General features: G+C 37.4%; 1 protein-coding gene across 9 annotated transcripts in view, besides 1 other annotated feature; it reads left to right on the forward strand.

The window, feature by feature from the left end:
- The window catches only part of WDFY2 (WD repeat and FYVE domain containing 2), a 183,248-nt gene that overhangs the window by 70,330 nt on the left and 86,160 nt on the right, over positions 1 to 26,758 (forward strand). For 6 of the 9 annotated variants that reach the window (XR_007063659.1, XR_941483.2, NM_052950.4 and 3 more), the window contains exons 2-3: positions 5,805 to 5,872; positions 20,379 to 20,452. Coding sequence is in view for 7 of the 9 variants with exons in the window: in NM_052950.4 (NP_443182.1) it covers positions 5,805 to 5,872; positions 20,379 to 20,452 (142 nt within the window). In the remaining 2 variants the exon portion in view is untranslated. Of the gene's footprint in view, positions 1 to 5,804; positions 5,873 to 20,378; positions 20,453 to 26,758 lie in introns of those variants that run through there. The other 3 variants (XM_011534915.3, XM_047430088.1, XM_047430091.1) reach the window with 1 other exon arrangement.
- Positions 17,402 to 17,696: a silencer, noted in NCBI's record as "tiled region #2859; K562 Repressive non-DNase unmatched - State 24:Quies". NCBI's record gives its function as "represses a minimal TATA promoter and a strong SV40 promoter by Sharpr-MPRA in K562 cells {active_cell/tissue: K562}" and the evidence as "EXISTENCE:reporter gene assay evidence [ECO:0000049][PMID:27701403]".

Here is a 26,758-nt window from a genome sequence, read left to right on the forward strand (position 1 = left end):
TTTTTTAAGCTGCTTTTGTACCTCAGGAGATAAGAGAACAGATATTTTTATATACTGTACTTTTATTTTTAGGTGTAAAGATTTATCAATTGCCTTCAATACAAGTTGGTATAAGGAGGGTAGTAAATTTAGTGAAGAGAGCTCTATTTAATAGGGTATTGTAAAGATTAAATATATATGTAAAGTGTTTTGGGGGCTGTAATTTCTTTAGAAATATTTGTTATTAGAAACACAGATGGTTTCTGTTTGCTGATCTTGCACCTTGTAACTTGGCTTAATTAATTTAATTAGCTTCAGTCGTTTTTTCTTGAGTGGATTATTTAGGATTTTCTATAAGTAGAATTATGTCATCTTCCAATAGAAATAGTTTTACATGTCTCTTTCCAGTTTGGATGCCTTTTATTTCTTTTATTTGGCTAATTACTCTGGCTGGGACTTCCAATAATGTTGAATAGCAGTGATGAAATTGAGCATCCTTATTACTGATTTTAGGGAGTATGTTTTCACTTTTTATTGAGTATGATGTTAAGTGTGGATTTTTCATGAATATCCTTTATTAGATTAAGGAAATTTTCTTCTATTCCTAGTATGCTATGTTTTTTTTTCATGAAAGATTGTTGAATTTTGTCAAATGCATTTTCTGTGTCTGTTGAGGGGTGTGTGTGTGTGTTCATTCTATTAATGTGCCGTATCACATTGATTGATTTCTCTTATATTGAACTACCCTTGCATTCCTGGGATAAATCACACTCAGTCATGGTATATAATCGTTTTAATGTGCTGTTGAACTTGGCTTACTAGTATTTTGTTGTGCAGTTTTGAATCTGTCTTCATGAAGATTTAAGTCTGTAGTTTTCTTGTGGTATCTTTGTCCAGCTTTCATAGAATGTGTTATAAAGTATTTTCTCCTCTTCCATTTTTCTGAAGTTTGAATAGGATTGTTGTTCATTCTCCTTTAAGTGTTTGATTGACTTTGCCAGTGAAGCCGTCTGGTTTTGCACTTTTCTTTGTTGAGAAGTTTTTGATTATTGATTCAATCTCTACTTGTAATAGGTTTGTTGAGATTATCCATTTCTTCTTGAGTCAGTATTGGTAGATTGTATGTTTCTAGGAATTTGTTTATTTAATCTAGATTATCTAATTGGCTGGCATATAAATTTTCTCCTATAATCCTTTAAATTTCTGTTTAGCTAAAGGTTTGTTACTTTTGCTGATCTTTTCAAAGAACTGACCTTTTGTTTCATTGATTCTCTATCTTTCCCTTTTTTTTTTTTTTTTTCCTGCTCTAATCTTTGTTATTTCCTTCCTTTGCTGGCTTTGGGTTTAGTTTGCTTTTCCTTAAGGTATAAAATTAGGTTATTGATTTGTGATCTTCTTTTTTAATATAGGCATTTATAGCTATACATTTCTTCCTGAGTACTGCTTTCACAGCCCCCAATACATTTTAATGTGTTGTGCTTTTGTTTTCATTCATCTGGAAGTATTTTCTAATTTTCTTAGTAACTTCTTCCCCAGTTCTTTTTGTTATTGATTTTAGCCTTATTCCTTTATACGTGGAGAAGATACTTTGTATGATTTCAATTTTAAAATTTATTAAGAATTGTTTTACAGCCTAACAGCTGAGCAATCCTAGAGAATGTTCCATGTGTACTTCAGAAAAACATGTATGTTCTGTTGTTGTTAGTTGGAGTGTTGTTTATATATCATTAGATCTAGTTGGTTTGTAGTGTTGTTCAAGTCTTCTGTTTCCTTATATGTATGGATGTTCTATCTTTTATTGTAAGTGAAAGTCTCCAATTATTGTAGAACTCTCTATTTCTCCCTTCAGTTCTGTCAGTGCTTACTTTTCATGTATTAATATTTTAGGGGCTCTGTTCTTTGGAGTATATATATTTGCAATTATTATTTTTTTGATGAATTGACCCTTTTGTCAATACATAGTGTCCTTGTCTCTTGTAATAAGTTTTGACTCAAAACCTATTTTTTCTGTTATCACTATACCCACCTAGCTCTCTTTTGGTTACTATTTGAATGGAATGTCTTTTTTATTGTTTCATTTTCAACCTATTTGTGTCTTTGGGTTTAAAGTAGTCTCATTTAAGTAGCAAAAAGTTGGACCATATTTTTTTAAAATCCATTCTACCAGTGTCTGTTTTTGTGAGTTTAATCCATTTATATTTAAAGTGATTACTGATAAGTAAAGACTTCTGCCATTTCACTATTTATTTTTTATGTCTTAAATCTCTTTGTTTTTTGTTTCTCAATTTCTCCACTATTGCCTTCTTCTACGTTTGATTTTTTCTCATGTACCATTTTGATTCCCTTATTTTTCTCTTCTGTATACCTAAATTTATATAATCTAGTTTGAATTGATATCAATTTATTTTTACTAGTGTACATTAACTCTGCTCCTAGTTAGCTCTGTTCCTACCCCTTTTGTTGCCCATTTACATAGACTTAAAATTCTTGTTTTATGCATATGTCTGTTAATCCATTTAGGAAACAGAAAGAGGAGTTATAAACAAAATATACAGTGATACTTACTTTTATATTTACTCGTGTGGTGACCTTTACCAGTAATCTTTAATTCTTGTATGGCTTCAGGTTACCATCTAGTGTCCTTTTGTTTCAGCCTGAAAAACTCCTTTTAACATTTCTTATAAGGAAGATCTACTAGTAATGAATTTCATTAGCTTTTGTTTATCTGAGAATGTCTTAATTTCCCCTTCATTTGGAAGGATAGTGCAGCTAGATAGAGAATTCATCTGTCTTACTATAGGAATTCCATATTGCATATGTTGGTACACTTGATGATGTCCCATAGGTCTCTTACGCTCTGTTTGTTATTCTTTATTCTTTTTTCTTTCTTCTTCTCAGACTGGGAAATTTCAGTTGTCCCATCTTCAGGTTTGCTGTCTCTTCTGACTCTCAAACCTGCTGTTGAGCCTCATTATGGAATTTTTCATTTCAGCTATTGTACTTTTCAATTCCAGAATTTCTCTTTGATTCCCTTTTGAAATTTCTGTCTCTTTATTGATACTCCCCATTTGTTCATACAACCTTGTCCTGATTTCCTTTGTTCTTTGTCTTTTTAAAACTGTTAAAGTCTTGGTATAGTAAGCCTGTTTTAGCTTCTTCATGGATGGTTTCTGTCAATTTCTTTTTTTCTGTTTTCTGTGAATTTCTGTCAATTTTCTGTGAATTTTTCTGTCAGTTTATTTGTTTTTCTTTTCCTTTTTCTTTGTATACTTTGCAATTTTTGTTAAGAACTGGACGTTTTGAATATTATAATGCAGTAATTCTGGAAGTCATATAATTCTCCCTCTCCAGAGGTTGCTGTTCTTACTTGTTGAGTGCTGTAGTTATCCATTTGTTTAGTGACTTTTCTAAACTATTTTTGCAAATACTATATTCCTTGTTGTATGTGATCACTGAGGTCTCTGTTCTGTTATGTCTAAAGTCAGCCAGTGATTTCCTTAAATGCCTGCGTCCGATAAGGATAAAAAAGTTTCTGTCTCTAATTTCTTTTGAAAGACACTGCTTGGGAAGCCCTTCAGCCCTAAGGGTTTGAAACAATAGCCAGCCTTTGCTTAAATCTCTCAATGAATTTCCAGACAAATCAAACACACCCCCTACAAACTGTGGAGGACAATGTTCGCTTCCTGGTACAAGCAGGCCACTCAAGGAACATGAGCCGCAATCTCCATGGCTGCCTGCCGTAGGGATGGGGCTGACAGTTCTTGCCAGCTTAGTAGTTGATTTAGTGGAGGGACTGATTTTGGAGTGTCTTAGTCCACCATCTTCTGTGATATTACTCTGGTATTGATTCTTATTGAGGTAATAATCTCAATAAAACAATTTTGTATTAACATGTATTGTAAAAAGAACTTGCTTAAGAGAAGAGTGAATGCCGATATGCGTATCGCTATATTAGCAGTATGTGTATGCATAGATTTAATTCTTATAAGTTATTTACCATTGTATCTGTTCACCTCACAAATTAATATAATTGACCAAAAAGACTGAATTTTGCATGTATATGCAAACTTAACATCATAACTTAAATGTTCTTTCTTTATTATATCTGTAGTTGGTCTAGTCTTTTTCCTACTAATTATTTATTTATTTATTTTTAAATTAATTTACTGTTTTTGAGACAGAGTCTTGCTCTGTCGCCCAGGCAGGAGTGTAATGGCGCCATCTTGGCTCAATGCAACCTCTCCCTCCCAGGTTCAAGTGATTCTCCTGCCTTAACCTCCTGAGTAGCTGGGATTATGGGCGTCCACCACTGCACCCTGCTAATTTTTGTATTTTTAGTAGAGACGGGGTTTTGTCATGTTGGCCAGGCTGGTTTCGAACTCCTGACCTCAGGTGATCTGCCCACCTTGGCCTCCCAAGGTGCTGGGATTACAGGTGTGAGCCACCGCGCACAGCCTGCTTATTTATAGAAGACCTCCTGATTAGCTGGAGTGGGGCAGGTGGCAGATATCCAATATAATTTAAAACTTAGTCCATTGTGATGACTTAAATAGTATCTTTAGGAAGTATCCAACTCTCTCTGAGATAAAAGTGCTCAGTTTGTCACTCTGCTTTTAACCCTGGGATGGCTTAAGAGTGTGGGGTGAGGTGTGTGGCCTATGATCCCCTGGCAGTGGGACACTGACTTTTTCCATTTGTTTGATGTTCACTATTTCCTCTGGTCTCCGGGATAATACCTTTCAACCTCCTACTTGTGTTTGCCTTGCTGGCATATGCTGATGATGTTATGGCTAGTATAATTCATGGTCGGGCCTTTTTGTTTGGTCAGAACATCATGATACTTCCCAGCTAGTTGAGTCTTTGGTGTCTGCTCTCTGACTTTTCCTAGGTGTCTGCCTTGTCTCTCTACAGCTGCTGGCCTGGAACTTCATGCACAGCCTTTGCTGCAGCATCACTCTGTTCCATAGCAAGCCTCATGGACGCCACTAGCTCAGAAAATCTGCCTCAGAGCTTATAATTACTTGAGCATGTTTAGAAAAACTCCCTTGAGACAATGGCTTGGCTTACAAGACCATGGACTGTATAATCATTCTGTTCATGTCAGATACTGCATATTTTTTCATTTGATCTCTTTGTAGTCCCTTCACTAATAAAACCAAATAGTTCCCCAGCCAGATGAATGCTTCTAGCCGTCAAGGGCAAAGGTCAGATGCTTGGAAAGGCAAAACAACAAGAACGAAAATAATAATTTTCAAACACTATCATGATTACACATGTGTGGCATGATATTTAAAGAGTTATATATAATTCTGAATATGTAGAAGCCGCAAGTTTAAGGAATATAGAATCTTTAGACAGGTATATATGGTGTTCATATATATGTATTTATGGTTAAGATACATAGGTATGTTAAGATATTCTCTCTCTCTCTTATGTTTTTTTTTAAGACGGAGTTTCTCTCTGTTACCCAGGCTGGAGTGCAGTGGCATGATCTTGACTCACTGCAACCTCTGCCTCTGGTGTTCAAGTGATTCTCCTGCCTCAGCCTCCCGAGTAGATGGGATTACAGGCGCACACCACTACTCTCAGCTAATTTTTTTTTTTTTTTCAGTAGAGACAGGGTTTCACCATGTTGGCCAGGCTGGTCTCGAACTCCTGACCTCAAGTGATACGCCTACCTCGGCCTCTCAAAGTGCTGGGACAGGCTTGAGCCACCGCGCCTGGCCTCTCTATATATAATATTAAGAGATTTGTTTTCTATGTATCAGCATTTTCCCATGGCTAAGAATAATGTGATTTCATGTACATATTTTCTTCTGTTGTAGGACAGTTCGTGTTTGGTTAAAGAGAGACAGTGGACAGTATTGGCCAAGCGTATACCATGCAATGCCTTGTAAGTATCCAAATCGCTGTCTTGAAAAACCAGACATGTCCTTCCCAGATTGCCTTCTCTGTATTTTCTTCTTAAGTAGAGAAGACTGAGGTTGGGATTCTCATTATAATGAAAAGTACCATATTAAATCATTTTAGATTTTCTAAGGCTTTCACTATGTAAAGTAAGAAAATTGTTCTGAAATTGACTCTATATTCATAGCTTCTGAATAAGATTAATGGAAGAAGGACTACAGCACGTAGGCTTTCTGATTACAGCAGTCTCCCTCTCTTTTCCAACTTTTTGTTCAGCTATTTTGTAAAGTATGTCCTTAGGCAATTCAAAATTTTGTCCAGTGATTACATTTGTGAAGTAAATTTGTCCTTGCCTTATTGTTATATCATTTATTCAAATTCAAGACATTCAGCATTGAGCATTCAGTTCTCAGAAGGATTTGCTTAGGATTGAAACATTCTAATTAGATGTTGATTTCATTTCCCCAAGATCTTATCTGAGAATTATGTCCTTGCACTGATAAATAATGGATCTTCCAAGTACACTTTTAAAAGAAATGTGTGATTCTTAGATTATTCCACTGGCAGAAGTTCCCCCACAGCTGAAGAAGACCTGGCCCCCCAAAATAGGAAATTTCTTTTTAGTCTAGTCTTTTATCTTTAAAATTAATGAAGTTTGGGCATCCTATCCCATGTTTATTTTAGCACAAAATAATTATTTAAATTTATTATTACTTGTATTAAACATTTCCCTTACTTCCTGCCCTTCAAACCTTAATTAAAATTGACATTGTAGAAAAATCCCCCAGGTTTGTTGTTTGGAGTCCTATACCTTCTGGCTTGCTGCAGTGTACCTCATCTCTTGATATAAGTATCCCAGTCTCAGAAGCATATGCCAAAATAAATTCATGCTAAATTGTAGATTTGCTTAAAATTCTGCTTCTGGCAAAAGAGTACTGTAATAACTCAAACAACAATTTTGCTTGTTTATAAACAAATGATTATTAATGATATAATAATTTTAAATGATTTTCAAATTATCTTTGAGGCTTTGCATGTCTTTAGAATTTTGTAGTAAATAGACGATAATAACCAAGCTGAACAAAGTATTCAACGCTTTTTTTGGGAAGAAGAAACTTCTTGTAATTCCGAATGCTATATCCTTCCTTTACCTGTTTTGCTTCTAGAAGATACTGTCGTACATTACAGGATCAAGCTGAACTTTCTTTTTAAGCCATGGCGGTGATGAGGGTTTAGATAAATGGAAAAGTAGAGAATTCTCTAGGTTTTTTTTTCCTGTTTTTTTGTTTATTTGTTTGTTTATTTGTTTTTGAGATGGAGTCTCCCTCTGTTGCCTAGGCTGGAGTACAGTATTGCAATCTTGGCTCACTGCAACCTCCACCTCCCGGGTTCAAGCGATTCTCCTCCCTCAGCCTCCCGAGTAGCTGAGACTACAGGCGCATGCCACCACACCCAGCTAATTTTTGTATTTTTAGTAGAGATGGGGTTTCACCATGTTAGCCAGGCTGGTTTCGAACTCCTGACCTCAGGTAACCCACCTGCCTCGGCCTCCCAAAGTGCTTACAGGCATGAGCCACCACGCCTAGCCTTTTTTCCTGTTTTTTAAATGATATAACCAGTATTTTTTCTGGTCTTGCTTCTTCATCAAACCTGCCACAGTATCTAACTGTAAGAGATGAGGGAGGGCTGTAATCCAGCAAGTTGAAGTTGGCCTCAGAGATCAATAGGTCCCATGACGCTGCAAAAGGGAGAGGCTGACCTGGGCAAAATGATGGGGATTTGGGGATGGCAAGCGAGGAATCTTATTGAGATAAGATGAGCGTTAATAGGGACCTCATGAAGGCACAGGATCCTAATTGCTAACTCATTCCCTTTCCCCTATACAAATACACATACATTTTGGTGTCATCCTGTAATGCTGTCTTTATTTGGATATCACTGAGATACAGAGAAGCTTTTAGTTGTGTTTTCATCATTTAGTAAGCTATATGCAAGAATGACTTAAGCTCACTATAGCTCTTACACCTGGCATAGGTGCTCAATAAATACTTATTGAAGGATTTGGTCTGATAATAAAGATGTGTTTCCCTGAGAGGATTACCATCCATTTTCCTTATGACTGAACAAGAACTTTGAGAAAGAGGACCTTGTGATTATTTGTATACTTTGCCTTCGGTGTTCTACTAAATAGAGTTAAAAAGGGATTACTTTGCTATTCAAAATGTGGTCTGTGGGCCAGTAGCATCAGCATCACCTGAGAACTTATTAGAAATGTACTCTTGGGTTCTACCCCAGAGCTGCTCAATCAAAATCTGCATTTAACAAAATCCCTAGATAGGCTGGGCGGGTTAGATCATGTCTGTAATCCCAGTGTTGTAGGAGGCCAAGGCGGGAGGATTTTTTGAGGCCAGGAGTTCAAGACCAGCCTGGACAATATAGCAAGATGCCACCTCTCTCTCTCTGTCTCCAAAGAAAAAAAATGAAACAAACCCAAACCGTAGATAATTTGAAGATACATTGAGGTTTGAAAACATTGTCTTGTGACATTATAGCAAACATGTTGATGATCTATGTACATGTTTATATGAACACATGTAAAGCCACGTGTATATAGTGTTGATTGGTAAATATATGGATGTAAGTATACATGCTAGTCAATCAGATATTTACTGTGCATCTACTGTATACAGGCCACAGATCTAGATGCCAGGGATTTGCAGACAAACAAGATGTATATGGTCAAGATGATTTCTCTTGAAATCATTTTGAAATGATCTTTTGAATCCATTCAAAAGATTACTACTGTGTAGAGGTGAAAAAGAAAGTTATCTTCATCACAATTGGTTAGAAATTGGCTTTTGTGTTCCTAGGAATCTTACGCATTCAGATGATGTAATAATTGACCTGGGCAAGAATTTAAGATTTGTTTAACTTGAGAGAGGCAGAATCTTATTGCATGAGGAAATAAGCTACATTTCAATCAGTTAGAGAACATGAAATAGATTTGAGTTTCCAAGGAATTGTTTTGTAGTCCTTCCTATTGAGAGGGGTTTTGTTAAGAGGTTACTCGGTATTATTCTTAAATAATGGTTATGTGATATTGGTTTCAAAACAAGTAAAAATGCACAATATATTCAGAGGCTATAAAATAAATACCACAAAGCAGATATGACCATATTTTATGTTTATTCTACTACATAATAAGTAGCATTCCAAGTACAGAAGAAAATAAAAAGAAAATATTCTGTGCATTTATTAAAATGACTTATTTGTTAATTTTGTCCATTAAAATACCTTTTAAATATAGTGTTTGTCATATTCCAGGTAAGAGAGTAAATGCATTACAGCTTTGAGAATAATTTGAAGTTTAATGAAAGGAAGAAAGTGGAAGGCATTGAATGAGAAAGAATAAATAGTGAAGGCCAAGTTTGATGACAGGAAACCAGCTTAAAAGGCAGAGTGTGATGAGGTTGAGTGATCTTGGGGGAGTTGCAGACAAGAGAAAGAAGAGCAGACGCATCATGGTCGAAAACACAAGCACTGCTTTGGGGATGTCTTCCTACCCTGTCTTTTCTGAGAAGCTCCTCCTCCGTAGAAGGGAGCCAGGAAAAACCAAGCTGGCCTGGTTAAGGCCGTTTGTCCCTGGGCCAATCTGATTTTCCCAGGAATTTAGAATTTGGAGGCAGAAATGCTAGTCTCAGCCTGGGCAGGGCCATTTTACTGGGAACATATAAACCCAAGAGCTGTGAGGCGTTTGTGTGCATGGAGAAAGAGTAAAAAAGCTGATCTGCAGAAAAGGTAGGGTGAACCAGGGAAGGAAGAACATCTGGCTCCTGATAAAGAGAAAGCCCAAGCAAGTGATGCACAAGATTTTCCTCATCCTCCTAATCCCCTGAGAATCCTGGCTGTGTTCTGCCTTTGAGCTCAAAAGATACCACTCTCTCTTATTGGATATGCCCATTTGTGCCTAAGTTCACCTGAGCAGATTTCTGTTACTTGTAACTGCAAGTATTTGACTAAGCCCAGGCCTCATTGTACACCTCCTAATTCCTACTCTTTCAGTTTTTCCTGGATCTCTGTGATCTTTAATGAGAAAGGACTGAGTCATGGCCCTATTGGTGACACGGTAGAGTTGAGCTTAACATAGCCTGGGAAAGGTGAGGGCATGTAAAGAAGGAAAACAAAAAGTAGTATTTGATCTTGTTTAATTTCTTTGGATAGTTCATTCAACAAATGTTAAGCGTTTCTTCCACATCTAACATTGTACGATGTACTAAGGATGTAGTAGTTAAATATGGCAGATGGTTCCTGTCTTTGCAGTGTTTACAGTCTGGTGGGGAAGGCAGACATTACATGAATACCAACCATCATGTATGGTGAGTGTTTTAATGTGGGAAGCAGGCATAATGGGGACATGGTCACAAAGTCTGCCTAAGGAAAGTTCATTTTAAACCCTACTCTCTATAGAGAATTTGGGGATGACTGCTGGCTTGTTTTGTAGTTTGCTATAAGCTAGCTGATTTTTATGGATGAATGAGAAATCAGAGCCTTTCCTTATCAAATATTCTTTCAAAAAGAATATCCCCTTGGTGTATCTTACGTAGTAGCTGCACATTGCCTGTGACAGTATCAACTTAAAACACACCTATCTGGGACCTTGCATGAGCTTGTAAACCAGGCCCTCAGATTAAGAGTGGAAGTTTCAGTTACAGCCATAAATGTGATTATTTGTTCCAGGCTTCTAATAGATGTAATTTCAACCACCACAGTTGGATCACACTATAGAGAAAAATCATGTAAAAAGCACAAGCATTTCTATTTCTGTGGTTGATTTATTTCATATTTACTTTACAAACTAGGTTTGCCATTCATGGGGTCAGACCTTTGTCCTTTGAGAGGTAGCAGAGGAACCTCTTGCAGGAGTTGGTGGAAAGAGTTGGAGATTTTTCTTACTCTATCAGAGGATTGGATGTCAAGCCTGGCATGTATTGCCAACTTCTCCCTGGGTATGGAGAATAGATCGATCAACTTGGCTGCCAAAGATGTTGTGAATAGGAGGCTTGAGAGGGCTGGAACCTCAGGCCGGGTGTGTTGGAGAATTGAAAACCCACTGTGGGTTCTGTTCCTGCCAGGGCAGGCAAATGGAATTTACTTTGGCTCCTAAGTATTTATAAATTTTTCCACAAAGCCAAACAAGACATTTTTTTCATTTTTTCAAAGGTAGTTACAAATAAAGAGGCACACCTAATGTAGCGATGAAATGACCTGTCTTGTCACCTTCCCAGTTCTCTGCCTTGGCCTGGTGGGATGGCATTTACCCAGTCTGAAGTGTGGTTGGGCCGCTCAGTTTTCACACAAGTATGGATACCTACCATCTGTTCAGTTAACGTTTAAAGTATAGGAACTCAAGTCCTCTCTGAAACGTGATTTTGAACTGCTTACTTCCCAGTTTTTATCAAAAGCCTGTTTGAGAGAAAGGCTATTTGTGGTGAACAGCATGAACGATAGTCTGATTATTCCTTTAAATTTGGAGTTTTCCCACTTGTGTTAGCCCTCTGCAGAAATGCCTTCATTCATTGTGCCCTCAGCTTACACTGATGTGTACATTATATGAAGTGCTTTATGGCTGTTTTTGAAGTAATCATCTACCTTAATGTACAGTGCCCCTTTTATGAAGGAGCAAAAAGGTGGAATATTTTTCAGACACGAGGGCCAGGAACTCTTTGCTCTCTCAAAGGCAGAACTTCCCAGCCTATGTGACACAGCCTACTGGTGTGGTCTAAATGGATTACATTAGAACATGAGAACTGATCCCCTTAGCTGAGCAGGGAGGTGGAGAAGAGGATGGAGGGAGGGCTAGTCTCTTCTGTTTATTCCAGTGGCTGTACAAATATAATTTTCCATGTGTATTATGAGGCAGAAAAGATTGGGAGCAGTAGCCCTAGGACCTGGTACTTTGTCATTATGGATAATGTGAAACATGAAACTTAACTGAATCTCCTAACAGATCTTTATTTTAATTTTCTTTCTGTTTACACACACACACACTCTCTCTCTCTCTTAGTCATAACTTATTTTTGCTTATTTGTATTGTTTGGTTTTATTGGTTTTATTGTATCTGCTTTTAAAGCCATTTCAAATGGTAGGTAATACATTAAATAAATAATCTTAGTTAAGATATCTATGGAAAGGATATTTGAACATAGTCTATTGTTTACATTAAATTCAACTTCCAAAAATGTATTGTTTCCAATTGCAGTATTCAGAATGGCTTGTAGGTTAGACCTTGTGCCTGGGTGGGAAACTGGAATTTGATTTTCATTTTTGCTACAATTTGCTGAATCACTTTGGGCAAGTCCTTCACATTTTCTTTGTTTTGAAGCCTAACAGATAAACTGTTATCTTTGTTCTCAAATTTGCAAAGATATTTTGGTTATTAGATATACCAAATAACTATTTGTAAAATGGCTTCAGGTTCTTGATGTTTAACAATATTACTGTCATTGCTGATACTTAACCCGGAGTTATTAGGAAAAATTGGCTACTTTGTGAGGTTGTGGCTGGGTTGGTTTCTTTTTGTCATTTATTGGGACTATAATCTTAAGGTAACAGACAAGTTAAAATTGGGGATTTGGAAAATTAAGTTGATTAATGTGTATATGCTTTTATCTGGAATGGAAATGAGTTATTTTGTAAGTAAGTTGAAAGTGTTAGTTTTCCCATTGGTAAGGAGGACTTTCGGTAACTTCAGAATGTGGAGGTGGTGTTTGTGCTTATTCCACCTCCTCTGCTGGGTGTTTTGGAGTTGGGGGAAAAGTTCATGTGGGTATATTAGTGGTATTATAGAATGATATTTCCAATTATGAACTTGGCAGTTCTGCTTTTATAAGGTGGTGATTGTTTTCCTGACTTTTAAACATCTTTAACTCAGTTGAGAGAGTTTCTTGGCAGATTGGGAGAATGTGTATATACTTGAGATATGCTCATTCTGTTGTTTTAATTTATACCTTACTTCAAAAAAACCTCTGGGTTCCTGGTTGTGAAATGTATTGATCCATTTATTGCTTTCTTTTTGGTATAGGTTATATTATGGAACCATGTGTGATTTGTTGTTTTTACTATTCATATTCTTATAAACCATAATGTAATGTGATCTTTTAATTCTGTATTTACTAAGAAGAAAAAGGTACCTGAGGAACTTCTTTTTTTTTTTTTTTTTTTTTTTTTTTTTTGGTATGGAGTCTTGCTCTGTCACCCAGGCTGCAGTGCAGTGGCACGATCTCGGCTCACTGCAAGCTCTGCCTCCAGGGTTCACGCCGTTCTCCTGCCTCAGCCTCCCAAGTAGCTGGGACTACAGGCGTCCGCCACTGCGCCCGGCTAATTTTTTGTATTTTTAGTAGAGACGGGGTTTCACTGTGGTCTCGATCTCCTGACTTCGTGATGCACCTGCCTCGGCCTCCCAAAGTGCTGGGATTACAGACGTGAGCCACCGCACCCGGCCCGGAACTTCTCATTTTTATTGGAAATGAAGCTAATGGAAATCCAAACTAAACATGCTAGAAATCATTTAATCTGATTAAGTACAGCATTTATTTAGCATACTCTTCTTTGATTTTCATCTGACGGGGCATTTTAAAATTTAGTGTAGTTAGATCACTTTAGTGTAACTTAAAACTTGTCTGGGAGTGACCACTTCTAATTTGCTTTGCTGTTATTACTCAGCCTAGATGAAAAGAAAACTAAATAGTTAATGTTAGTAGAGTAAATAAAATGTTGGATTTAGATGTAAAATACTTTTTAGTGCTAGAAAATTGAAGTCCTAAATATAGGTATGCTTAATAAAATAAAACGTGTTGAGTACTGCAAATCTAATAAATATTATTCTATTATAAGCAGGGCTGAATGAAATAGTGTCCATGAATTAAATTTTTGCTTTGTCGGGCTGTATTGCTCATTGGAGGCTCTATTGAAGACCCTCTTATTGTGAAATCTTGACATTCAACTTCACCAGGATACCGTTAGCACCTGAAGTTTTTATTTGCAGAAGTCACCGTTGTTATTTAGTTTTAAAGTTTGAACCAGAACATCTCATGAGGAAGATTAGTGTCTCCTGCCAAATAATGCCCTTAGCATTGTGAAGCAGTGTGATTGAAATCCGCAGCTTAACCTTCAATGAAACTTGTGTTTATTTGAGCAAAGTTCAACTGGTCAGCAAAGGACAGAAAATACATTAGTCATAAAATGAAAGAATTATTGGTGTACGTAACAGAAATTAGAAAACTTTCCTCCCAAATCGAAATATTTTGAGATTGCCTCCTCTTAAGTACATGATTTTTAAATAAACAAGGGCAATTTTAAAAATACCAATTTTGAGATAGAAGTATTAGAAATGCAAATAGTCACTTTCCCTCTAATCCATTTAATTATTGACTCTGCTGAGATTTTTATGCTGATCTCTTGGGTCCCCTTTGTCTAGGGCTATGTCTCCTGTGCTTTCCTCTCTTCAAATTATATGGCCATTAATTTAATCGCCCATACTAGAGCTTCTCTTTGTTTTGATTTTCACTGAATTTTAAGCTGAATGTTTGTCTTAAGTTACAAAGACTTCATTTTACCAAACACTCAGTGTTATGAAAGTGTTTACTTTTATTTTCTTTCTTTATTATTTTACCAAATATCCAGAATTCAAGGAAATAAAGGGTCTAATTTTAAAGGTGAGACTCTGACAGGCCAGTCAGATCTAAAGTCTTGATACTAATATAAGATAATAAGAGGTCACATTACTCATAGACCTGCACAGTTTAGTTTTTTTTATCTTATTTGTGCATTTCATTGCTTCCTAAATTTTTTCTAGTATATTTCTTTTGACTGTCATTAGTCCGAGACAGAAAAGGTAGATGAGAAATCTTATTCAGGTAACATGGAAGATGAGTCCTGTACTATTTACCAAAAAACTGTAATCATTTTTTTCCCTAGATTTTAATAAAAATGTTGGGGAAAATATAGGAAGCTAGAATATAACATCAACAAAACCAGTAGCAAGGCCTTGAATTTCAGTTATTGGGTTAGTAAAGAAGTCTCAGGCAACCTACATATACCATGATATATGTGAGAAGTCTTGGCAAATGGCATCACCTTACACATTTCATTCTGTATGGTTATTCTCATGGGGAAACAGTTAAAAGTGGGGGTCATAAATAGATCTTCACAATTTGTATCATGCTATATTTATTTCATCTAGAGTTCAGGAATGCAGTTTTGATAGAGGAAGTCAGTGGAGGGCAGCTGTATTATAATTTTATGGGTCTGGTCAGGCACTTCACTCACCCTTTGGAGAAAGTAATTTTAAGGTGGGGGAATAGACCAGTCCCCAGCCAGTTTGTCTGTAATTTGCATGTTTGTTGCTTCCTCTTATTCTTCCTGCCAAAGGATTCCCTTTGCCATTGGGTCATAGTTACTTTTACTTTAGTGTCTCATTATCCTTCCCCAGAGAGTTTTGCCCCTTTGATATTTGTCTTGCATGGGTGGGAGCCCATTTTGTATGGGCCACAGCACTAGTTTTTTTGCTTTTTTGTTAATTTCTGGTGAGTTGAAGTTAGAAGGATCTGTGTGTCAATCTGTTTACTCCTCTGATCCATAAAAGAAAAGGAAGACTTTACTGTAACAACAAATCGAGGCATCAATATTCTTTTGAATCGGCTCTCTGCTTCTTTGATCTACCAGGGGCCAATCCAAGGCCTGTTCCTGTGGGAGTGTCACAGTTGGAAAATGGTTTGAGGAGCATTGTACGTCTCACCTACTGTGCGCACATGCACACACACACACACACACACACACACACACACACACACACACACACAGATGTTTGCCTGGTGTTTTCCCAAATGCCTGTTTGAAGGGGTGGTTATGCCTTTGGATGTGCCTGGGAGCTAATGCTGTCTAACTCTGACACTCCCCTTTCCAGAACATCCTGGGTTCAGGCATATAGGTTGTAGAACAGTAAGATTTCTGTTCAGATTTCTTTTGTTTATGCTCATTTATAGAAGCAGTCTTTTTTTTAATTTCAGTAGGTTTTTGGGGAACAGGTGGTGCTTGGTTACATGAAAAAGTTCTTTACTGGTGATTTCTGAGATTTTCATGCCCCTATCACCCGACCAGTGTACCCAGTGTGTAGTCTTTTATCCCTCACCCCACTTGCCCACCTTTCCTCGAATCCCCAAACTCCCTTGTATTATTCTTAGGCCTTTGCATCCTCATAGCTTAGCTCCCACTTATGAGTAAGAACATACGATGTTTGCTTTTCCATTCCTGAGTTACTTCACTTAGAATAATGGTCTCCAATTCCATCCAGGTTGCTGTGAATGGCATTATTTTGTTACTTTTTTATGGCTGAGTAATATTCCCTGGTTCACCACAATTTCTTTATCCATTTGTTGATTGGTGGGCATTTGGGCTGGTTCCATGTTTTTGCAATTGTGAGTTGTGCTGCTATAAACATGCGTGTGTGAGTATGTTTTTCGTATAATGACTTCTTTTTGTCTGGGTAGATATCCAGTAGTGAGATTGCTGGATCAAATGGTAGTTCTACTTTTAGTTATTTAAGGAATCTCCACACTGTTTTCCATAGTGGTTGTACTAGTTTGCATTCCCACCAGCAGCGCAGAGGTGTTCCCTTTTCGCCACATCCATGCCAACATCTATTATATTTTGATTTTTTGATTATGGCCATTCTTGCAGGAGTAAGGTGATACCGCATTGCAGTTTTGATTTGCATTTCCCTGATCATTAGTGATGTTGAGCGATTTTTCAAGTTTGTTGGCCATTTGTATATCTTTTGAGAATTGTCTATTCATGTCCTTAGCCCACTTTTTGATGGGGTTCTTTTTGTGTGTGTGTGCTAATTTGTTTGAGTTCCTTGTAGATTCTGCATATTAGTCCTTTGTTGGATGTTTTAATTGTTTGTTGTGTGCGTTAATTGCTAAGATTTTTTTCCCACTCTTTGGGTTGTCTGTTTACTCTGCTGATTGTTTCTTTTGCTAGGCAGAAGATTTTTAGTTTAATTGAGTCTCATCTATTTATCTTTGATTTGTTGCATTTGCTTTTTTTTTTTTTTTTTTTTTTTTTGAGACAAGGTCTTCCTCTGTTGCCCAGGCTGGAGTGCAGTGGCACCATCTCAGCTTACTGCAACCTCTGCCTCCCGGATTCAAGCGATTCTCGTGCCTCAGCCTCCCTAGTAGCTAGGACTACAGGTGTGTACCGTCACACCCGCCTAATTTTTGTATTTTTAATAGAGATGGGGTTTCGCCATGTTGGCCAGGCTGGTCTCAATCTCCTGACCTCAAGTGATCCGTCCATCTCAGCCTCCCAAAGTGCTGGGATTACAGGCGTGAGCCGCTGCAGCTGGCCTGCATTTGCTTTTGGGTTCTTGGTCATGAAGTCTTTGCCTAAGCCAATGCCTAGAAAGGTTTTCCAGTGTTATCTTCTAGAATTTTTATGGTTTCAGGTTTTAAATTTAAGTCTTTGGTTCATCTTGAGTTGATTTTTGTATAAGGTGAGAGATGGGGATCCAGTTTCATTCTTCTACATGTGGCTTGCCAATTATCCCAGCGCTGTTTGTCGAATAGGGTGTCCTTTTTCCACTTTATGTTTTGTTTGCTTTGTCAAAGATCTGTTGACTGTAAGTATTTGGGTTTATCTCTGGGTTCTGTTTCCTGCTCTATTGATCTGTATGCCTGTTTTTATAACAGTACCATGCTGTTTTGGTGACTATGGCCTTATATATAGTTTGAAGTCGGGTAATGTGATTCCTCCAGATTTGTTCTTTTTGCTTAGTCTTGCTTTGGCTATGTGGGCTCTTTTTTGGTTCCATATAGGTTTTAGGGTTGTTTTTTCTAGTTCTATGAAGAATGATGGTGCTATTTTGATGGGAATTGCCTTGAATTTGTTGATTGCTTTTGGCGGTATGTTCATTTTCACAATATTGATTCTACCCATCCATGAGCATGGGATATGTTTCCATTTGTTTGTGTCATCTGTGATTTCTTTCAGCAGTGTTTGTAGTTTTCTTTGTAGAGGTCTTTCACCTCCTGGTTTAGGTATCCCAAGTATGTTATTTTATTTTTCTGCAGCTACTGTAAAAGGAGTTGAGTTCTTGATTTGATTCTCAGCTTGGTCACTGTTGATGTATAGCAGAGCTACTGATTTGTGTGCATTAATTTTGTATTCTGAAAATTTGCTGAATTCATTTATTATAGGAACGGTTCTTTACTTTGAAATATGGTGGTGTTTCTTACTATGCATAAAATGATTTGAACCAATAGGGTGAAATTGTCTTACAGTTCCTATGTACCTTTGGTTTCACAATCTATAAATTCTTTTAATTCCATGATGGCAGCAGTAATACTTTATATATCATTGTAGGACATGCCTTGAACATAGTAAGGATTCTAAATTTTTCTTGAAAGAATAACAAGAAATATAGGAAATTGGGGAAAAAACAAGGAATAAGGGAATGGCAATGAAGATTTAAGAGTAGCCTATGCAGTGTTGTAAAAAAGTATTTTAAATCACATTCAAATTTCAGTGGGTTTTCTAATTATAGCATAACCGGATATGGACTTTGGAGGAAATCACACAGGAAATACTTTTAGATGGTCAAGTGGGCAGCTAAATGATAAGGTTGTTCCTGGCTAGTCACTAGCCCCTTGAGGCTGCAATCGAGTTTTGCTTCATATGCTCATACTTACATCTTCATAAATTGTGACATATTTAAAATTCATTTTAACAGGAATGGCAAAATAAGAGTAAAGACAGTGTTATAGAAATAATCTTGTCATTTGAACACAAGAATAATTTTTCCATGTATCCTGTACTTATGTGTGTATGTACTTTACACAATTGTAATCACAGTGTATTTTTTCTTTAGATTTTTTTTCAGCTAACAATTTTCCATGAGATTATTAGATTCTAATTCTGCACACATGTTATGGGATTATGAGACCCGGCATCTTAATATTGTATAGAAATTGTGCCAACATAGTTTACTGGTCAAGGGCAATAAAACTGACTTTCTTAGGGCAGTGCATTAAATATCATTTGATTGCTGTTTTCAGGAGTGTACTCTTGGGAATCTGGTTTTATTTTGTAGCTAAGTAGAAAGAAGATAGTCTGTTATACAGGTGGAAGTTTTTGGGGGAAATTCTACTAGTTTTTATTTTCTGAATATATCATGATAGAAAATTAGAAAAAAAGTAAATATGCAGTTTAGAAGGTCTTTTTGTTGTTTTATTCAGGGCCCTTTTATAAAGAATGAAAAATATGTTACTAAGTGATATGTTCACTTAGTGGCTGTCAGTAGAACTTGAAATTCTTTTTTAGTTTAAAAATAATCTAAGTTGGTTGTTTGAAAATGGGACTGTGTGTTTGAATGATGTCTTTGAACCTTCTCCAGTGTTTCCTATGTGACCTTGGGTAAAACATCTAATCATACCCGTGAAAAGTAGGAATAAAAAATATTTGATGCTGATTGTGATTATGATAATAGGTAGTTCATGATCTACATGGCTTCTGTGAATATGAAGGGAGACATATAAAAACTGTGCTGGGCTCTTTAGAACAACTATTAAATATTTCAGTATTGGGTAAATTGTCAAAAGACCCCCTATTTAGTGGGAGCAGTTAGGAGCAAGCACAGGTAGAGAAGGCAGGGACCTGGGAGCTGACTGTTTAGTAAGCACTTGTTGACCACACGTGGCTTCCAAGCATACTTAATTTGCTTAGGCTCGGGTGTACTCAGGCCGTCAGTCCTGCGGAACAGGGAGAACCAGTCCAGGCCTGGGTGTACTGACTTACCTGGTTTCTTTCCTACAATGCCAAGCCCTATGATGAGTTGGTTCTTTTTTAGATTGAGACAAATCCTCCTCTGTCATTTTCAATCAGCAGACTCCAGCACACCCCCAAAGGCCAAAAGCAAAAAACTCCTGTTAATTCACACGCCCCGAATCAATTCTGAATCAAAAAATAGACTTCTAGACTCCTGTGTGTATGTGTCTGTATGTGGGTGGGGAGGGTGGAGGGATAATAAGATCTTTCTTTTGTTTGTCTAGTTCAGAAAGGATAGGTTATTTCTATTTAAGATGGAATTGGAGTGGTACAGAGAGAGTGGTAACAGAAACGTTACACAGCACAAAGTATTGTTAATCTAGTTAAGCAAATTTAGAGTCCATACTGACAGAACCAGCCAAGACCAAGCCCCTTGGAACTTGCCCAGTTTGAGAATATCTTATTTGTTATATTCATTAAAAGGATAACTGAACAACTATGGGGTGGCTGTAAAATTACTGTTTTTATTTTTTGGTGAGTGGATGTTAAATGAAATGTTTTCCAGGAGATAGTGGGGAAAGTACAGCCCCACACTTTTAGCTAGTTAGGCACTCCTGAGTCGATGAGAATCATGGTTTTGTTAATTTCATCAACATGTTCATTTCTTTCAGCTCCATGTTCATGCATGTCTTTTAACCCGGAAACAAGAAGACTGTCCATAGGTCTAGACAATGGTACAATCTCAGTAAGTACACATAAATAAGATTTCCAGTTGAAATACTTCCCTTCCTGTGGAGTATGTATATGTATTTATTAGTTTTTTCAAGTTAACAGAAGAATTTTCTTGCTAAGTAGAATGAAAATTGCAGCGTAGCAAATTATGGCGAGGTAAGAGATTCTAATGTAGGGAGAGCTATCATCAGTATCCACTTAAATGCTGACAAGGTTCAGCTTGACCTACCCTATACAGAGTGGCTAGAATGGGGGCAATCGGAGGCCAATGAGTAAACTGCATGAATCTGCATTAGTGAGAGCAAGCTATGATACTAGTGGCTTTAATCAGATGGTTAATCATGGTGCCTTAAGCTTTGCCACATAAGCAACAGAACAGGAGGAAAATGCTTTCCCTTATGTCTGCATGTCTGATCCTGTCTTTGATACTCTGTGTTCTTTCTTTGTTCCTTCTGCTTCTTGTTTTTTCCAGCTCCCTTTAGCATCTGAATAGAATTCTGTAAATTTGTATGAATTTGTGAAAAAAAGCACAGAATCTAGATTTAGTCTGTAGATAGATCCACATAAATATTAGACCCTTTGATTATAGATGTTGGGGGAACTGAAGTGATTAAAGATTGGAATTTTGGCTTTTATTTACCTACTTAATCTTTCTACATACTAAGTTTCAACTAGTATATTAACTAATAACAAGACTGATCTAGTAAATTCTCCATTTGGTAAATTATCCAGCGTTGCCTTTAGTCCTGGGCGAGAGAAGCCCTGCTTCAGAACCTATGAATTAGAAGGCCCTGCTCTGCTCACACTTCCCCACAGGGTGGAGGATCTGAGGGCTCAAGGGGATGTATGTGATCAGCCCAAGTCCTCCCTCTCTCCCACTCCATCCTCCCACTACCAAGACCCTGGAATTTCCTGCCCCAAACTGCTCAGAACCTGCTTCCAGAGTCTTCACTGACCTTTTTCCTAGATGTGTCCTTAGAAAGATAAAACCAGTGAGTATGCTCTTAGGCCTGAGAGGTGGCAAAGAGGTAGCAGTTTGCGGTAGACAGGATGTCCACCCTTGAGTGCAGGGCCCCTCAAGGTCTTGACAAAACTGGGAATAGAAAGAGAAGGGGAGTGGGCTGGCCCCCCGTGTCACCACAATATGGCGTGGAACTTAAAGGAGACTAAGAATTCTAAATTTGAACCTGTACCTCCAGCTGGTGAAGGGTGTATTTGTCAAGATTGGAGGATGAGACCATATTTTATTTAATAGTTCAACTGGACTTGTAACTTTTAAACATGTAAACATGGAATGTGGGCCTCCATTTGTAATCTTGCCCCAGCCCCTACAAATGTTAGTGGGCCTAAAGTTTTGTCTTTGATCTTTAGTCAAAACATTTGCTTGGTGTCCTTTCTGTGACTATTAACAATATTGTTAAATATAAATCAGCCTAGTGACAAGTATTTATGAAATTTCTGTAATATCCAATACATTTGGTAGATCTGTAAACTCTGTTTCTTAGGTAGATAGAAGTTTATGATACAAAGTTGTCTACTTTGAGGAGAGCCATTTTTAAAAGGAGGTGTGCATATGAGATAAATTTATTTTTAAAAGATAAAGGGAGATCATTATTCAGTGGACTTCTGAAGTGTTCATTACAAAGGAAATATGAAAAGGTGAACTGAGATCCTTCCATTTCCCAACAGTTATAGGATAGTTTGCGTAACGCTCACTGTCCATGGAAAAACTTAGGTTTACATAACATAGGAGTGGTTTGTTGCACTTTTGAAGTTAATGTAGGTGGTTAATGGATACTGATAAATTTGGCTTTGAAGGCAAGAAAGATGAGCAAAGTAAGTTATGGAGAATTCTAGCTATTTATTGTATATAAGAGGCGAAACCATCTTAGCCATTATTCTTTTAGTAAATAAAACTGCCAGGGAAGCAAAGCATCAGTCAGGGTCCATCTTTCCAAGTATGTCAGTACAGGGTTGAGACATCAAACCTTAACTTACTCCAGTCTTCTGAAAAAGATTCAGGACCCTGGCTTATATGAAATAATTTCCTTAAAAGTACCTCCTTTGTATTGTTGAGGAAGATGAATTGCATACCCTACCTCTTCTCATCTATGGAATTAGAAAGAGTTCTATGTTAGGGAAAGATACATTGAGAGAACAGCATGTTTAAGGTTCAGGATTCACATTGATCACTGCAATAACAGGCTCTTTACTGAAAATACTTAGTCTCAGCTGTTTTAATAATTTACTTTTTAGACACAAGAAATCCTAGTCAGAGACTATATATTCTGTTTCCTGGTTATAACAAATAAATTTTAAGAAGAAATAGTGGTTAACTTATTTTAAAACTAAGAAAGTGTGAAATCAGAAAGTAACATCATTATTTCACTTTATTTTACTGAATAAAAAGAACACATTGTGTAAGATAGACAGTTAAACTTAGGCAGCTGAGTAGTGAATTAGAGATGAAGTAGAAATAAGACGTAGAGACCATTCTTTCAAAAAATGTGGCCACAAAGAGCAGGAGAGAGAGTGTGAGTACTGGAGCAAGATCTGGTAGGAGACAAGCAGCAAGAGGGTCCTGAACAATTTGGAAAAGTTAGCTGTGGGAAAGAATGGGGACAGTTGAGAGAGCAGGAAAGGAGAGAGAAATGTCATTCAGTTTTGCGATATAGGAGAGGAATGCCTTTTATTTTTTCCTGTGAGGTAGCAGGTGAGGTCATCTACTGAGAGAAGGTAAAGATAATGAGGTGAGAGTAAATTTTCCTACCTATACCTTTTGCTCTTTTCTAATCATATAGCTCAGAATTCTGCTCTGCCATCTTGGTCTACAAAGTTTTAATTATCTTCCCCACCTCATTAAAATGTTATCTTTTTGTTTGTATTTTTATTTTTGGCAGATGATTCCTGAGCCCTACCAATTGAAATTAGTCACACACGGTACTCAGTAGGTTAGCTATGTTGTATTGTGTATTTAACTTTTGCTTTGCACACTGTTGAAAAGTCTGTCTCTTCCATTAAACCGCTGGGTGTTGAAGAGTTGGCCAGTCCTTTATTCATCTCTCCTCTGGTAGATCTTATTGTGGCTCCTTTTACAAATTGGGAACTCAATGAATAATTTGTTAGTTTATTGACTAAAGTATAAACACTATTATTATTTAATATAGCTGATTGTAGTAAGCACTTGCTTAAATTCTGAGATAGTTTATTTGTACAATTCTATTACCATTCAAAATGTTTTTCAAAATAGAATGACCTTCTGTAGGGGAAAAATTTATGCCAATAGTTTAACTTGTCTTGACCTTTTTCAGTAATGTCTTCTGTTTTAATATTGAGAGAAGTTAGTCAGATTGTGCTAACTGCTATTCATGCTGAAGTGGAACTTTAAACTTTGCATTTTTATGTCTCATGTATTCTAGCCAACTAACAAATATTTAAATATCAACTCTGTACAAAAGATTATGCTCAATTCTAACATAGTGTGGCTTCTGGTCTCAAAGACTTTATAATTCAGTTAGGGAGACATTTTTCATTTTTATGAAAAATGAAATTATGAAATAAGTAACACAAAGTAAACAAATAATAGCAGAAGTACCGGTACACCAATGAGTGTGATGTTGGCAAAGCAGTGAGGTCAGAAGACAGTGGGAGATAATGGTCTAGGGCAGCTCCCTGAATACGAACTGGATTTAGAAGACTGGCTAGGATTGGATTAGCTAAAGATAGGAAAGTAACATATTTCAGACAAAATTAATGGAGTGGGGGAAAAAAACCACCCAAACCATGGAGGTACCAAAGGACCAAAGATGTTTGGAGAGATATAAACTAATTTGGTAGAGAATTAATGAAATAATATGAAAGCCTTGATTCAGGATGAGTAGTAAGCATTATGTAACGTAAAGGTACTGGATCGTAACATGGAAGATTCTCCCCATCCCACTCCAAGACTTCATACCATATTTAAAGGGGATAATTGACTGGTGAGGAAATGTCAACACAGAAGTAAAGCATTTCCATTAAACTAATTTTCACCAACCCTGAGTAATTGCTATAGGATAGTATAGGGTGGAGAGAGATATATATATCTTTATAAATACTTATTTTCTTCTCCATCAAAACTTACAGGGAGCCACAGTTTTTATTAATATCTTGCTAAGATAAATGCATGGTCATTGAAGATTTTTTGAAAAAGGCCTTAAAATGGTAAAATCTCTATTCTCTGAAGATTAATCTCGTGTGTGTTATGGGAAGTTTGATTGGGATGAGAGGATTGATCTATAAATGGTTAGCACTCAGAATAGTGATTATTGTCTAAAAATAACTGACATTGACTGTGTATGGATTTATTGTTGTTTTGGTAGTTCTTGTGATTGTGATTATTATACTCTTACAGTATACATTACTGTTAGTTCATGTGGGTTATGTAGTAAGTTAGTTTCCTAGGGCTGCCATAACAGTACCAAACAGCAGTTTTTCTCTCATGGTTCTGGAGCCTGGAAGTCTGAAATCAGGGTGTCAGGAGGGCCATGCTCCTTCTGAAAGCTGTAGAACATTCCTCCTTGCTTTTTCCTAGCTTCTGGTGGTTGCTAGCAATCCTTGGCATTCCGTGGCTTGTGAATGTGTCTCTCCAGTTCTTGCCTGCATCTTCACATTGCCTTCCTTTCTATGTCTCTATGTCTTCACATGGACTCCTTTAAAAAAAAACAAAACAAAACATGGAGTCTCGCTCTGTTGCCCACGCCAAAGAGCAGTGGTGCTATAATAGCTCACTGCAGCCTTGAGCTCCTGGACTCAAGTAATCTTCCCACCTCAGCCTCTGGAGTAGATAGGACTGTAAGTGTGCACCACCATGCTTGGCTCATTTCACGGATGTTTATTTGTTTGTTTTAGAAACAGGGTTTTGCTTTGTTGCCCAGGCTGGAGTGCAGCAGCGTGATCATAGCTCACTACAGCCTCAAAGACCTGGGCTCAAGTGATCCGCCTGCCTCTCACTTCCAAGTAGCTGGGACTACAGATGTGCACCACCATACCTGGCTAATGTTTTGGCTTTTTTCGTAGATGGGGTCTCACTATGTTGCCTGGACTGGTCTTTAATTCCTAGGCTCACGGGATCCTCCCACCTCAGCCTCCCAAGTAGCTGGGATTACAGGTGTGAGCCACTGTGCCCGGCTCCACGTGACCTTCTTATAAAGACACCAGTCATTGGATTTATGTCTCCCCCTAATCCAGTATGATCCTGTCTTAGTTACATCTGCAAAGACCCTATTTCCCAAATAAGGATGTGTTCTGAGGTTCTGGGTGGACATGAATTTTGAGAGAATACTGTTTAACTCAGTACATCTGGTAATATTGTATCTACTGTGTTTCCCTAACAGTGTTAGAGCAGTTGATTTGGAAACAGTTTTCTCAATGTGAGACATGATGTCTTCAGGAAGAAGTATCCAAGGATATTAAAAGAAGATGATTCAAAATCCTCTTGTGGGAGATAAGAAAATATAATTGAAAGGATCTTCTTCTGCAGCTAATGCCACTCTCCTCTAGACTAAGTGATATCTTGAATAGGCCCCATGTCAGGATAATGGTGGCAGAGCTAGGACTTCCCTGAGCCCTAGACAAATTTTCTTTGTATTATACCAGGCCAATTTCTTCATACAAGTAGGACAGCCCAGCTGCAAGGAATTGCCCTAGGGTATTCACTAGTGAATTAGGAAGGAGCTTGTGTTATTCTGTGCATCCAGCCACTGTTAAAAAATATGTGTTGGGTTGGGGGCAGGAATTTCAGCATTTAATCTAACAAGGTGTTTTGGATGAGTTGTTTATTACCGTGGATTATAACGAGCCTATGGGGAACTGAACCCAAATGGTAAGGTCATGTTCTACGGTGACGACAAATGGCCTCTGAATAAAGCACTTCAGCTGTACCCAAGCAAGTTGACTGTACAGTTAGTTCACTCTGCTGGAGAGACAGTCTTGAAAATTTTCACCTTAATCAGCTTCAAAACAGCAGTGTAATAGTAGACTCTCACTCATCAGTCATCATGATGCATTCCAAGTTTTGTACTTACAGGAGAATTGATGTTGCTTCTGAAATTTTCTGTTTTCCAGGACTTCTAGTGTGATACCATTTATGAATAATATCCTTATCATGTGGGCATAGAAGGTGAATTTGAAGAAAATTTCAGGAAGCTCTGTGTTCAGAGAAATGTGTGCGTGGAATCTATGGGGCCTCCTCCTTTTAAACTGTTACATAACCCTGCCATTATTTACACTAGCTTATGATTCTGTCATTATACCATGGTTTCTACCATAGAAGACCAGC

The sequence above is a fragment of the Homo sapiens genome, chromosome 13 (assembly GCF_000001405.40).
Source record: "Homo sapiens chromosome 13, GRCh38.p14 Primary Assembly".
Lineage (NCBI taxonomy): Eukaryota > Metazoa > Chordata > Mammalia > Primates > Hominidae > Homo > Homo sapiens.